The following is a 13,727-nucleotide window of genomic DNA, read 5'->3' as shown; positions in this document are numbered from 1 at the left end:
AAATAAATCAATAATAAATGAACAAATACTGCATGATTCCACTTATACAAGGTACCTAAAGTCCTCCAACTCGTAGGAGGAGAGAATAGTGGTTAGCAGCGGTTGGAGGAAAAGGAAATGCGGAGTTGTCGTTCAATTAGTATGAAGTTTGAGTTATGCAAGATGTATTAATTCTAGAAATCTGCTGTACAGCATAATGCCTACTGTCAACAATACTGGACTATGCACTTAAAGTTTTGTTAAGAGGAGCGATCTCATGTTAAGCATTCTTAACACAGACACACACACACACACACACACACACACACACGCAGAAACAAGGAAATTGGGAGGTGATGGATAGTCTATTACCTTGGTTGTGGCAATGGTTTCATGAATGTATGCATATGCCCAAACTCATCAAATTGTAAGCATTAAATATGTTCAGTTTATTGCATATCAATTATACCTCAATAAAGCTCTTAAGAAAAGAGTTACAGTAAGATCTAGAGTTGTACTGCTGGCAATTCTATATCTTTGTAATAGAACACTAAACACAGTCATGGATCACTTAATGACAAGTATATATTCTCAGAAATGTGCCATTGGGTGATTTCATGTTGTGAGAATATCACAGAGTGTGCTTACACAAATCTAGATGGTAGAGCCTATTACATGCCTAGGCTGTGCGGCATAGCCTGTTGCTCCTAGGCTACAAACCTATTCAGCACGTTACTCTATTGGACACTGTAGGCAATTGTAATATAACGTTAAGTATTTGTGAGTCTAAACATAGAAAACGTACAGTAAAAATACAATATTATAATCTTCTGAGACCACAGTTGTATATAAGGTCAGTCATTGAGTAAAAAGTTGCTACGGGGTATGTGACTATACTATATACTGTATTATAAAAATTTCCCTTTTTACTTAACAATGTGCATATATCATATGTGCTAATGCATAATGAATATAAATTGTCTAATTATTACATATTAAAATAATTTAAATAATTAACAAATAATGTTACTAATAAATAATATCTCTTTAAAAATCTTAGAATGAGTAACTTAGAATATTAATATAATAAACACATCTAGAATATTGTTTCGCCACAAAGGAAATACACTTACCTACTATTTCTTACAAAAATATTGAGATGAAATTTTAGATAAATTACTTTTTTAGAAGGTAATTGGTAATAATTATAGGCAATTTTTTTGTTGTTTAAAGAATTACCCATGCACTCTTCTAATACTATGTGATATAAGGGCCGGGCGTGGTGTCTCACTCCTGTAATCCTAGCACTTTGGGAGGCTGAGGCGGGCAGATCACGATGTCAAGAGATGGAGACCATCCTGACTAACACGGTGAAACTCCGTCTCTACTAAAAAAAAAAAAAAAAAATTAGCCGGGCGTGGTGGCGGGCGCCTTTAGTCCCAGCTACTCAGGAGGCTGAGGCAGGAGAATGACGTGAACCCGGGAGGCGGAGCTTGCAGTGAGCCGAGATAGCGCCACTGCACTCCAGCCTGGACGACAGAGCGAGATTTGGTCTCAAAAAAAAAAAAGTGGTTTGGAGTCAATACTCACTCTTTCCAAAAGGAAATCACTGTTCCTTTTTCTGTCATCATAAATTAGATTTTTCTTTTTTTGAAATTCCTATATATAGAATAATCCTGTATGAGCCTTGTTGCTTCTGGTATGTTTGGTTATTATAATATTTTAAAAAATTCGTTTATGCTATTGCACAGTAGTATTGAATCACATGAATGCACCATAAATGTTTTATCCCTTCACTTGTTGCTGTCCATTTTATTTGGGTTACAACAAAATACCGGCTTCTATGAATAGAACTGCTAGAAATATTACCGTGCAAGTCATTTTACGAGCATATGTTTTAATTTTGCTCAAGTAATAACCTGGAAATTGAATACATTTTATAGGTTAGGTGTGTATTTAACTTTATATCAATATGCTGAAATGGTTTCCAGAGTGGCTGTGTCATTTTACTCTTCCATTAACAAGGTATTAGAGGTCCATTTTCTCCACATCTTCTCCAACATTTTGTTCTGTCACTTATTTTCAATTAGCTACTCTACTATATATGAATTAGTGTTATATTGAATTTATGTGATAAGTAGAATAAATTATGATGTTGATAACCTATTCATATGCTTATTAGCTCTTCATATACCTTAGTTTTGAAATGTGTGGTGAAATATAAAGCTAAACATAAAAGCTAGAAAAATAAAGCTAGAATACAAACATAAAAGGAAATATTTGTGATTTTGGGTTAGGCAAAGATTTTTTAGAGGACCCAAAATAAGTAAGTAATTAAAAATAATTTATTTTCAATTATAAGTAATTTTCTTATTTATTTTTATTGTATTTACAGCAGCAAAGGGCTTTTATAAAAAATATGTAAATAACAGTTGTGAAGCAATAATTTTAAAATGCTGTTTTTTTTTAATTGAAGAGGACTAAAACATTTTCCCAAATAATATATGCAAGTGACCAAGGAGCACAAAAAATATTTAATAGCATTAGACATGCAAATTAAAAGACTAAATTACCATTAGAAGGATTAAAATGTAAAAGACTGGCAACACCAAATGCTGGAGAAAACTAGGAGTCTCATACATTTTTGCTTGTGGTATGAACCGATGCAACCATGTGAAAAACAATTTGGCCATTTTGTCATAGAAGTTGAACATCCATTTACACAACAGTGCAGTAATTACAATCTCATGTATGTAACTAAGACAAATGAACAAATATGTTTACAAACACTTTGTATGTTAATTTTCATAATAGCATTACTCATAATATTCAAAACTCAGAAACAAACCAGAGTACCATCAACAGGAATATTAAGTGCTATATACATATAGTCATGAAATCTAATACAACACAGCAATTAAAAGGAACAAACTATTGACACATGTAACAACATGGATAGTTCTAAGAAATACTGAGCTGAGTGACAGAAGTCAAATACTGAAGAGAACATACTCTAAAACTATATTTATATGAAAATGCATATGAGTCATAGATTGCTCCCACATTGATTGAGGAGGAGACCATGAAAAGCATTATTTCCTAGGGTTCATCTTAAAATTCTACCTACTGCACTAACATAGGGTGATAAATATCAGACCAGTGGTTGCCTCTGGAGTGGGGGAGTAACTGAGAAGAGACACAAATACATTTGGGTGATGAAAATGTTTGGGGTCTTTATTTACAGTTTTCAAGACAGATTGAAGAGTACCCTTAGGATCTGAGTGTTTCTCTGTTTGAAAGAAAAAAAAATACAGAATAAAATAAGTTAATAAAATCCATTTATACACAAGTATGTATATGCTGAACATTGTATTAATAATAACATAATAATATATTTTAATCTTCACAATTACCCTATATGGTGAATATGATATTTATTCCCATCTTCCAGATTAGGAAACTGAGACTCATATATCTTAAGTAGTATGATTAAGTTCTGATGATTAATATATAAGAAATCAGTGTTGAATATTATATTTGTATAAATGTAGAGACAAATATCCTATGTAGCCTTTCTCTAGAAGGCTATATTAGTGGATACATTTGGATTTTATATTAGTGGATAACTTTCCTTTCAAAGATTCAACTTATTCTAATATATATGATAAATCTGATGATGACTGGGAATGGAATTATATTGATTGTTTAACAGTAGGTTAATTGACACATAAGAACGCAGATGGAGCTATGGGGTAGGTGAAAGTATAGAGTGTTCTGAATTGACAGAAATATATGTTTTTTTTTTACCAGTATGCCAAGTAATGCTTTTCTTGTTTCTGTTGTTCAAGAATTCTAGTTTCTTGTTAAAGCAACTATTTTCATATGGCCAACTTACCAGTTGTACAGGTTAACTGCATATACATTTACATAATAATTTATTTGCAAAGTACCGCAAGCAAGTTCTGTGAGTTTGTTCTGGGTCAAAGTTTCAAATGCTGATTATTGTTTATTGGGAGCTCAGAAGAGAGTCCAGGACTTGACAATGGTTATATTAGTTTTGGTTACCAGGGTGGCTACTTCATATCTGGAAGGTTCAGGCAACAGTTACTGAAATTTAATCAGCAATGCTTTCTAAATGTAATCTTTATAGTTAATCAGCAAGGCTGATTAACACAATCATATGTGTTTATGAGTATTGGACCCAATTCTTGCAAGAAAAGGCAATTTTATTGCAGAATACCATCAGCAAGTTAACACCATTAAGGCTTATTGGCATTCTCTCCTGCTTTGCAAGGACATCTGCCATGCATGCAGTGTGGTCCTTTCCGTCAACTTAGAACACAGGAATGTCATTACAGTCTCATAAATTTACTGAAAAAAAAGACAAAAGTTATTGGTGAAAGTGGAGAAGTGAAAAGTCATTTTAGTAGTCTTATTACTTTGTACTTGTGTGATAATTAATGTGATTATACTACTTCCTGCACAGATCTTGCTATTATGAGGAGGGGTAGGAAAGAATATACTCAGGTTTGGGGATGACCATTGTTTCAGCTGATGTTCAATTAAGAAAGTACAATCACTATGAGGATTATGGGATAGATATTTATTGCAAGAATTAGAGTTTGCCTAATTGTGGGAGGAGATGGGGACACAAGGTATGAATGGTAACTGAAAGATCAGAGAAAAGATACTCATTAGCCCTGACACAGAAGAAAAGGGTGTAGCTTTCTGGGAAACCTGAAAATTAGAAATATCTATATCCAGCTGCTTGATTAAAACTAAAGAAAGGGATTGATGTGGAAATTTAGATTCTTCATGGTTTCTGCCACTATAAGATTACAGCAAAGTTCCTGGTAGGGGCTTGTGTCAGGAAAGATAGCAGTAGGAGAGGAGAGTTGCATAAGTGGGAAAGGTGGAAGACAAATTGGAACTCATTCTTAAACCTACACCTGCCTCTTACCATCTCTGAGAATGACTTTCACAGAGTGAAGGTCATTAATTTTTGAGTCTCCAATTTTGTGTGCATTTACTTTTGGCCAACTCTATGCTGACACTTTAAAAGAAGAGCAATTATAGCCAACATAGTTTTTGGCAAAACCAAATCAACGATAGAATAATCTAGCATGCAGGAGGAGAAGGTCAACTTCTGGAAAGAACGTTGAGGTGATGGAAAAGCTTAGTTTAAGTGTATACCAGATCCTGAGAGTTCAGTCAGAAACTGGGTTAGCAACAAGGCATATGGAATTCAAATATGAGTGAGTTTAAGAGAGGTGTTCTTGGGAAAATATGACATTAGAGACAAGATAGATGTCCCAACAGTAAAGAATTATGTTTTAATTTGACAGAATTTAAGTTCATTTCTTTGAACAGCTCTTTTTTATGGTGCAATCTGAAAGATGCACCTTTCTTCCTCTAAGCAGGTGTGAACTAATCACATCTTAGGTTTGTCTCCAAGATCATTCTCTTCTATTCTCCACTTCAACATTTGTATTCCATGGCCTCATGATTGTATTCCCTTGTGAAAATTATATATCTGCACACATGCATACATCTCTAAACAATATTTAATCTGTTTGCAAGTGTCTCATTAATATTATTCTACTACAAAAGTCTTTCTAAAATGTTCTTTTTTTCCCTTAATATTTGATTTGAGATTTGTTTAAGTTGGTAAATGTGCTTTAATTTATACATTTTAATTGTTATATTATTCCATTTTATTTATTTTATGTATAAGCCATATATGCTGAATTATTCATTTTAGTATATTCTATTGCAGACACTCAGCAAAATAAAATTATCATTGTACTTTTATTGGGCATTTAGTTTGTTTCCAAGGTTTCACTGTTGTCTTCAATGCTGCCATAAACATTCTCAAACCTTTGACCTTGTGCATGTATAAAAGCTTTTCTGAGATGGGTAACTACAGTTCAAGATCTAGGAACAATTGATCTTGACTGTTGGATCAAGGATGTGTTGCTGAAGAATATGACATTGAGTAGGTCTGCAAGGATGATAGGCTTTGAGGAGCTGGAGATGGAAGAAGGACATCTGGAATGAGAGGAGCAAGAAGGGACAGGTCTTACAGAAAGCAGAGAGGAGAAACAGAGGGAGGTGCATACTGAGAGAGTCTGTTGTTGCTCAAAGTGTTGCCCTTAGTAAAGATAACCCTAATTGTGTCCAGATGGAATGTAGAGAAGCTAGAAACTGATCGTAAAAACTTCGAGATCCAAAAGATAATGCCTACAGTATGTGGAAAGAATAAAAGATTAAGAAAATTTTGAGAATCAACCCAGAGTCCCAGAAATATTTACTGTGGACAGAGCTAAATCTGAAGGCAGATTGAATACTCCCAAAGATGAACCCATGTGCCATGGTGAAACATTTTCTGATCTTGTTTCTCAAAATTAGTTTTGCTACATAAATAATGTATTTCAGATGTTTGCTTCTATATTCTCTCTTCCCCTAATCTTCAATTCATCCTGAGAACTAAAGGTTTATAGTTCATAGTTTTCATAAAGGATCTGTGACCTTTTATAAAATGTGGGGCATATTATTACCTATTCCTAAAACCTCACAGCTAACCACTCAAAGACAGGTCATTGGAATATTTCCCATTTTAAATATGTAAATATTGGACTGCCAGTTAGAGCTAAATAGTGTTATTTAGTGGAAGGTAAACAGACGAAATTATTTAGACCTTGGAGTGAACATTGGAGCTTTCATTCTCATGGAAGTGAGAACTCTAAATGTGAAACCTTGGAATTTACTTCATTTCAGGTGACCGTTCTACACTAATCGTAACCTTTCAAGCACCGTGACTGTGATTGGCTAGATAATAGACACATGACTTGATTTTGGCCAAAGAAGTAACATGCTCTAAAGTCTCTGGGAAAAGTTTCTTCACTCCTTAAAAACTCAAGGAAATTATCCCCTCCACTTGTTCTAGTAGTTGTGTCAAAAAGTGATGCTTAGAACGTTGACAGACATATTGCTACCATCCATATGATATTTATTAAGGATGTCAAATTGGAGAGTAGAACAAAACATGAGATATTTATGACCATGTTGATCAACTAATTAGCTAACCTTGGAAACAAATCTACTCACAGACTTCCTATGGTCTTTATTCTCTCTACATTTGAATTTCCATCTACTATCATTTCTTCTCAGATTAAAAGATATTTTATCATTACTTGTAGTGACAAGTTCTTTCAGTTTTCATCTTTTATAAAAAATGTCATTTAAACATTGCTTTACAAAGTAATTTTGTTGCATATAAACTTTCTGTCAACAATTTTATCTATTTTTTGGTTTGTTCTTTTTTTGTTGTTGTTGTTGTTTAGTTTTAGCACTTAAAATGTCACTTAAAAATAAGTGACTTCTGGTTTTGACTATTTCTGATGAAGAGTAAACAGAATCTGTTTTCTTTGTTCTCGAGTAAATCATTTTTCTTTTCTCCTGTGAATCTCGTTGAGGCTTGGTTTTAGGCTCTTTTTTGGGGAGGTAGATCAAGAGTAGGTCTGACTCCTATCTCTCATCATACACAAAAATCAAATAAAAATGGATTAAAGACGATCTGAGGCTGAAACCATGAAATTACCTAAAAAAAACCTCTAAGGTAACTACTAAGATAATTGGAATCCCACTTTGTGTGATATTAATATAACCACTCCAATTTTCTTTCAGCTGGAGCTTGTGCCACATATTTTTATATTCTTTTACTTTTATCTATGTCTTTGTACATAAAAGGTGTTGCATATGAGGGTGTTGATTTTGTATCAAACCGGACAATAGTTGTCTTTTAATTGGTGTGTTCAGCCTATTTACATTTAATGTAATTATTCACATTGCTGGGTTGAAATCTGCAATCCTTTGGTAGTTTTGTTCTATATCGTCGATCTTTTTTGTGTCTTTGTTCCTCTTTATTTTTTTTTTCTATCAGCTTTTTGTTGTGTTTTTATAAAACCCTTTTAGCTTCACTATTGGCTAATTAGTTATTAATTATGTCTATTTTCCTACTTTTATTTAGTTACCTTAGAGTTTACAATAAACATTGTTATCATTAATCTTCAAATAATATTATACCACTTCATATATTGCTTCATAATTTTGTAAAGGGATACTTTCAATTCCCTCCTTCTGTCATTTGTGTTACTACTGTAAATCAAAGGTTCCAAACAAGTGTCCTTATACAAGGGAATTGAAAGAGCTACTCTTGTGATACCAACAAACATTTGGGGAGTAGGAACATTATTGGATCAAAAGGTTAAAAGGGGCTATGGAAATTCCAGAGAATATAAGCAAAATTCAGTCAGGAAAAAAAAATTGGGCAATTATACAATTACAACACAAAAATAAAGATTTTAAAAATCAGCTTGAAAACTTAATACAGATATTACATATATATACTAGAATGTAAAATAAGCACAAAATTAATTTCTATAATTCAACATTAGTTTAGGAAGCAAGAGGATTAACCTGTATAAATATTTGAAAGAATATTTTCAAAAACTTTAAAATTTCCATTGAAAAGGTTTTATTAGGGAATGGTTTAGATTTCTTTTCTCACTTCAGACTAAGAAATGCCTGGTTTCCCTGAATAGCCTTTGAATTTTATTTTTTGCTGAGTATACTTTTTAACAATATAGACATTCTAGAATTTATTTTACCTTTGAATTAGATTGGTAATTGTTTTATTCATTTGATCCATAAAACACCACACTAGGCACTATAAATGATAAAATCCAATAACTTTACTTTGAATTAGAACACTTTACTTTGAATTAGAATGTAGTGAGGTGAGTGCTATTGTAGAGAGAAACACATTTTATAGAAATAATGCTGATATAGCACCTAATATTTCCTACTAAGGTGATATGTTACTATAATCTCATCATCAAACAGATTTAAATCACATCAATTGCTCCAAATATACCATTTATAGCAAAGTGATCCAGTTGAAGGATTCCAATTGCACATAGGCTTTGTGTCCCTTTTGTCTCTTTCAGTCAAGAACATTTACTTACTCTTTTCTTAATTTGCATGATGTTGAAGTTTTTGAAGATTATAAGGCCAGTTATTTCACAAAATTTTCCTCTATTTGAGTTTGTCTGCTATTTCTTCAGGATGAGATTCATGTTATGCATTTTTGACAAGAGTAGGGATGTTATGCCTTCTTACTGCATTCTATGAATGGACACACGATGCCAATTTGTCCCATTTCAGGTGAAACTAACAGTAATCATCTAATGAAGATGGGGTCTCCAGGCTTCTGCACTACAAAGACACTCAGTTTTTTCTCTATGTAAATAAGCATTTCATGGAGGGGTACTTTGAAGCTACATAATTATCACATTCCTCATCATATGATGAATTTAATTATTTATTTATGTCAGTGTAGATTCATTGGTCTTTATTTTAATCAATGGTTTATAAGCCACTAATATAATGATTCCTTTTGATGCTCAGGGTATTCCTGTTTTGATCAGTGGGAGATTCTTTGAACTAATTTTTGGGTTCTTTTGATGTGGCTGTATCTTTCTTTAGTCACTTTCTTATATTCTGGAATAACAAGATGTTCAATACTAATTTGTTTTTTTTCTTTTCCCCTAGCCTTGGCATCAACCATTTCTCCAAAGGAGCTCCAATTTCATTTTCAGTAAAAATTGGTATATAAGGCCAAGTTCTGAGGTGTGCTTACTAACTTTCAGCCCTTTCAGTGGACAAAGCTGGTAAGTAAATACATCCTTTTACATTTATTTCTCTACTTATTTACATTTATTATGTTTCAGGGGTCATACCCAAGAACCCAAAAGCAAATGAAATAAAAACAAAGATAAATAGCTGGAACCTAATTAAACTAAACAGTTTTTGCACAGCAAAAGGAAGAGTCAGCAGAGTAAACAGACAACCCACAGAGTGGGAGAAAATCTTCACAATCTGTAAATCTGACAAAGGACTAATATCCAGAATCTACAACAAACTCAAACAAATCAGTAAGTAAAAAAAAAAAAAAAACCCATCAAAAAGTGGGCTAAAGACATGAATAGACAATTCTCAAAAGAAGATATACAAATGGCCAACAAACATATGAAAAATGCTCAACATCACTAATGATCAGGGAGATGCAAATCAAAACCAGAATGCAATACCGCCTTACTCCTGCAAGAATGGATATAATCAAAAAATCAAAAAACAGCAGATGTTGCCTTGGATGTGGTGAACAGGGATTAGTAAAGAAGAAGTCAAACTGTCCCTATTTGCCGATGATATGATCATTTACTTGAAAACCCTAAAGACTCCTCCAGAAAGATATGTATATATATCTTGGGGGAAGAGTGGGAAGGGGACGAGGGATAAAAGACTACAAAAATGGTGCAGGGTATACTGCATGGTTGATGGGCGCACGAAATCTCACAAGTCACCACTAAATAACTTATGTTACCAAATACCACATGTACCCCAATAACTTGTGGAAAAAAACGTTAGTTAGTTACTTCCAAGGTACAATGGGAGTATGAGTATTGGGTAAATGCTCCTGTTGCAAAAGGAAGAAATTGGCCATAATGAAGGGGCTACAGGTCCCATGCAAGTTCAAAACCTATCGGGAGAGTCATGAAATCTTAAAGTTCTAAAATAATTTCCTTTGACTTAATGTCTCATGTCCAGGGCATGCTGATGCAAGGGGTGGGCACCATCCAATCAGCTGCCAGCACCACTAGGACAAACCAGGTGGAAGAAGATGGGATAACCATTCTTGCTGAGTCTTCCGGTTTTCATATTTTTCCTGTGCTGGATGTTTCCTTCCATTCCATCAGACTCCAGATTCTTCAGCCTTTGGATTGTTGGACTTATACCAGTGGTTTGCCAGGGGCTCTCAGGCCTTCAGTCACAGACTGAAGGCTGCACTGTTAGCTCCCCTACTTTTGAGGCTTTTTGGACTTAGATGAGCCACTACTGGCTTCTCTCTTCCCCAGCTTGCAGATGGTCTGTCATGGGACTTGGTCTTGTGAACCTGTGAGCCATTTCTCCCTAACAAACTATCTGTCATATATACATACATCCTATGAGTTCTGTCCCTCTGGAGAACCTGGACTAATACAGGAGAAGAAATAAGAAGAAAGAAACACATGAAAAGTTGTTCACCCTTATTAGCCATTAGTTAAATACAAATTAAATCCACAACGATATGTCAGTACACACCTATAAGAATGGAATAAAGAAAATAGTGATGTCACCGAATGTTGGCAAGAATGTGGAAAAACTGGATCACTTATGCATTACCAGTGGGAATGTAAAATAGTACAGTCACTCAGAAAACCAAAATGGCAGTTTCTTAAAAAAACTACACATATTAACTATCATACAACCCAGAAGTTTTCTGGGAATTTTCCCCAGAAAAATTAAAATTTATATTCACACAAAAATCTGTAACAAATGTTTACAGCAGCTTTATTCACAATAATCAAAAACTGGAAATAATTGGAGTGACCTCCAAGGAGTGATTGACTAAATGAACTAGTGCACCCATACATGGAATACTACTCAGCAATAGTAAGAAAAAAACCTCTAATAATACACATAGTATACTGGAGGAATCTTTGGATAATTTTGCAGAGTAAGGAAAGCCAATTCCAAAAGGAGCAGACTGTATAATTTCATTTATATAACAATCTTGAAATGACAAAACTATAGAAATGGAAAACAGATTCGTAGTTGTCAGGTATTAGGAATAGTGAGAGTAGAGTTGGGAGTGTGAGAGGAAAGTGAATATGGGGAAAACTAAAGTACATTAAATCTGTCTATATTACTTCTGTAAAATCAGATATATGGGATTCTACAATCAATTGAAAATATAGGAAGAGATCCAAGGACACAAAATGGAAGCCAGCCTTCAAATGCAGCTTCTCACTTACATATTCAGTCTAATTTTGAGCTGCGATTTTTTAATCCTAAGAGACCAGAGCTCTTGTTCTCTGAATACCAACCCATATGTTTCTGTGGGCAAGTCTTGTGTGTACTCCCTGCCATGTCTCCGTTCCAAACACACTTCTACAGTGATAACATGAAATATATAATAGATGATGTTCTCTTCTCAATCTCTGCTGCCTCTGAAATAGCTGACCTTAGTAACATCATGAATAAATTGCTGAAGGACAAAAATGAGTTCCACAAACATGTGGAGTTTGATTTCAAACTGGAGGGCCAGTTTCTGCTAATTTCCTTGGTCAAACACATGGACCTTGAGATCATCTCATCATAAGAGGTTGTGGAACTAGAATGTGGAGAAGTACACTGTCCACCAGCCAGAGCAATGCATATTCTATGATGACTGCATCAGTTCAATTAAAGGGGCAGAGGAATGTACCTTGACTGGTTCTTATGATGAGACTTCTGGGTTCTGATGCTTGGAAGAAAAGTTCGTAATGATGATTGTGAAATATACAGATGCTGTGAAAAATGTGGCCTGGGTGAAAAAAGACAGTTTGTCTTGTTTTTACTGAATTCTTCCATTGATCAGAGTACTGTCTTACCGGAGTAGAATTTAATGAGAAACAGGGAAAGCCCTACACTGCTGCAGAGATCATACTGGAAGTGTAGATTATATAGCTGTTGATAGCTCAGAAACTATATTTTGCAGTGGCTGATGAGATAAAATGTTAAATATCTACTCTACAGTCTCTATAGATAAAGAAGATGAAATGGGGGAATCCACAAATTGAGAAAGAAACAGAAAACAGAGCAATTGGAACTAACGAGGACTCCCATGCTGACCCTCTCTGACCACAAGGAAGCAATTTCCTTGGTTCTGTGGTCAAATGTTGAAGGAACCTGCAGTGCATCTTGGGACCACACAATTAGAGTGTGGCATGTTGAGTTCAGCAGTCTTAACTCAGCTTTGTCAGGAAATAAAGTATTGTATTTTCTATTTTCTACTCTGTAAATGTTTAGCATCTGGAAGCACAGACATGCATATAAGACTGGGATCCCCAAACCAAAGATAGTTTTTTGCTGTCTTTTTCCCAACTTCACATACAGGCCGGGTGACATCAGTAAAATGGTCTTCTATTCATGAACAGCAGCTGATTTCATTATATTTAGGTGACACTGTCAAGCTGCAGAATACAAGAAGTTTTAAGGCTCCATTCTGTGATCTAGCTGCTCATGAAGACAAAATTCTGAGTGTAGACTGGACAAACACAGGGATACTTCTCAATGGAAGATCAGACAATGAATTATATTCCTACATATATTCACCTACCACTTCCCATGTGGGGCATGAAAGTGAACGATAATTTCATTATAGATTCTTTCTATAAATATTGGTAAAGAATCGTGAAATTACATTGATGCAGATGCAGAAAGCAGCCTTTTAGATTAAAGTTTATATAATAGTTTCATCCTTTATAATAGTTAACATACCACTTTTTTATTTTATAATGGAATAGTTGGTGTTTAGAAAATATAAAATGTGGCCTGCATTTACTACCCTATATAAATTCTTGAAGATAAACTTGGAGTTTTTAATTTCTTTTTAAAAGTGTTAATTTGTATTAAGATTTTCTTTTGAAGTTCTATAAAAGAGTACATTACAAATACAAAAATAAAAACATAAACCTTAATTTTTAAAGAAAGTGTAGTGGTAAAGTTGTAGCACCTGTCTCCAGGTCCCACATTCTTAACATTGCACTACATAGCTGTCTGCAATGTTTTGTCCTGGCTGTTTTCAACAATTTTTTTTTAAACAT

General features: G+C 34.1%; 1 pseudogene; it reads left to right on the top strand.

Moving 5' to 3' along the window:
- WDR12P3 (WDR12 pseudogene 3) lies at positions 11,838–13,453 on the top strand (annotated as a pseudogene).
- Positions 13,454–13,727: the final 274 nt, after the last annotated feature.

Source organism: Homo sapiens, chromosome 12, assembly GCF_000001405.40.
Source record: "Homo sapiens chromosome 12, GRCh38.p14 Primary Assembly".
Classification (NCBI taxonomy): domain Eukaryota; kingdom Metazoa; phylum Chordata; class Mammalia; order Primates; family Hominidae; genus Homo; species Homo sapiens.
The sequence above is the reverse complement of the archived record's forward strand: the minus strand, read 5'-3'. Positions and strand labels throughout refer to the sequence as shown.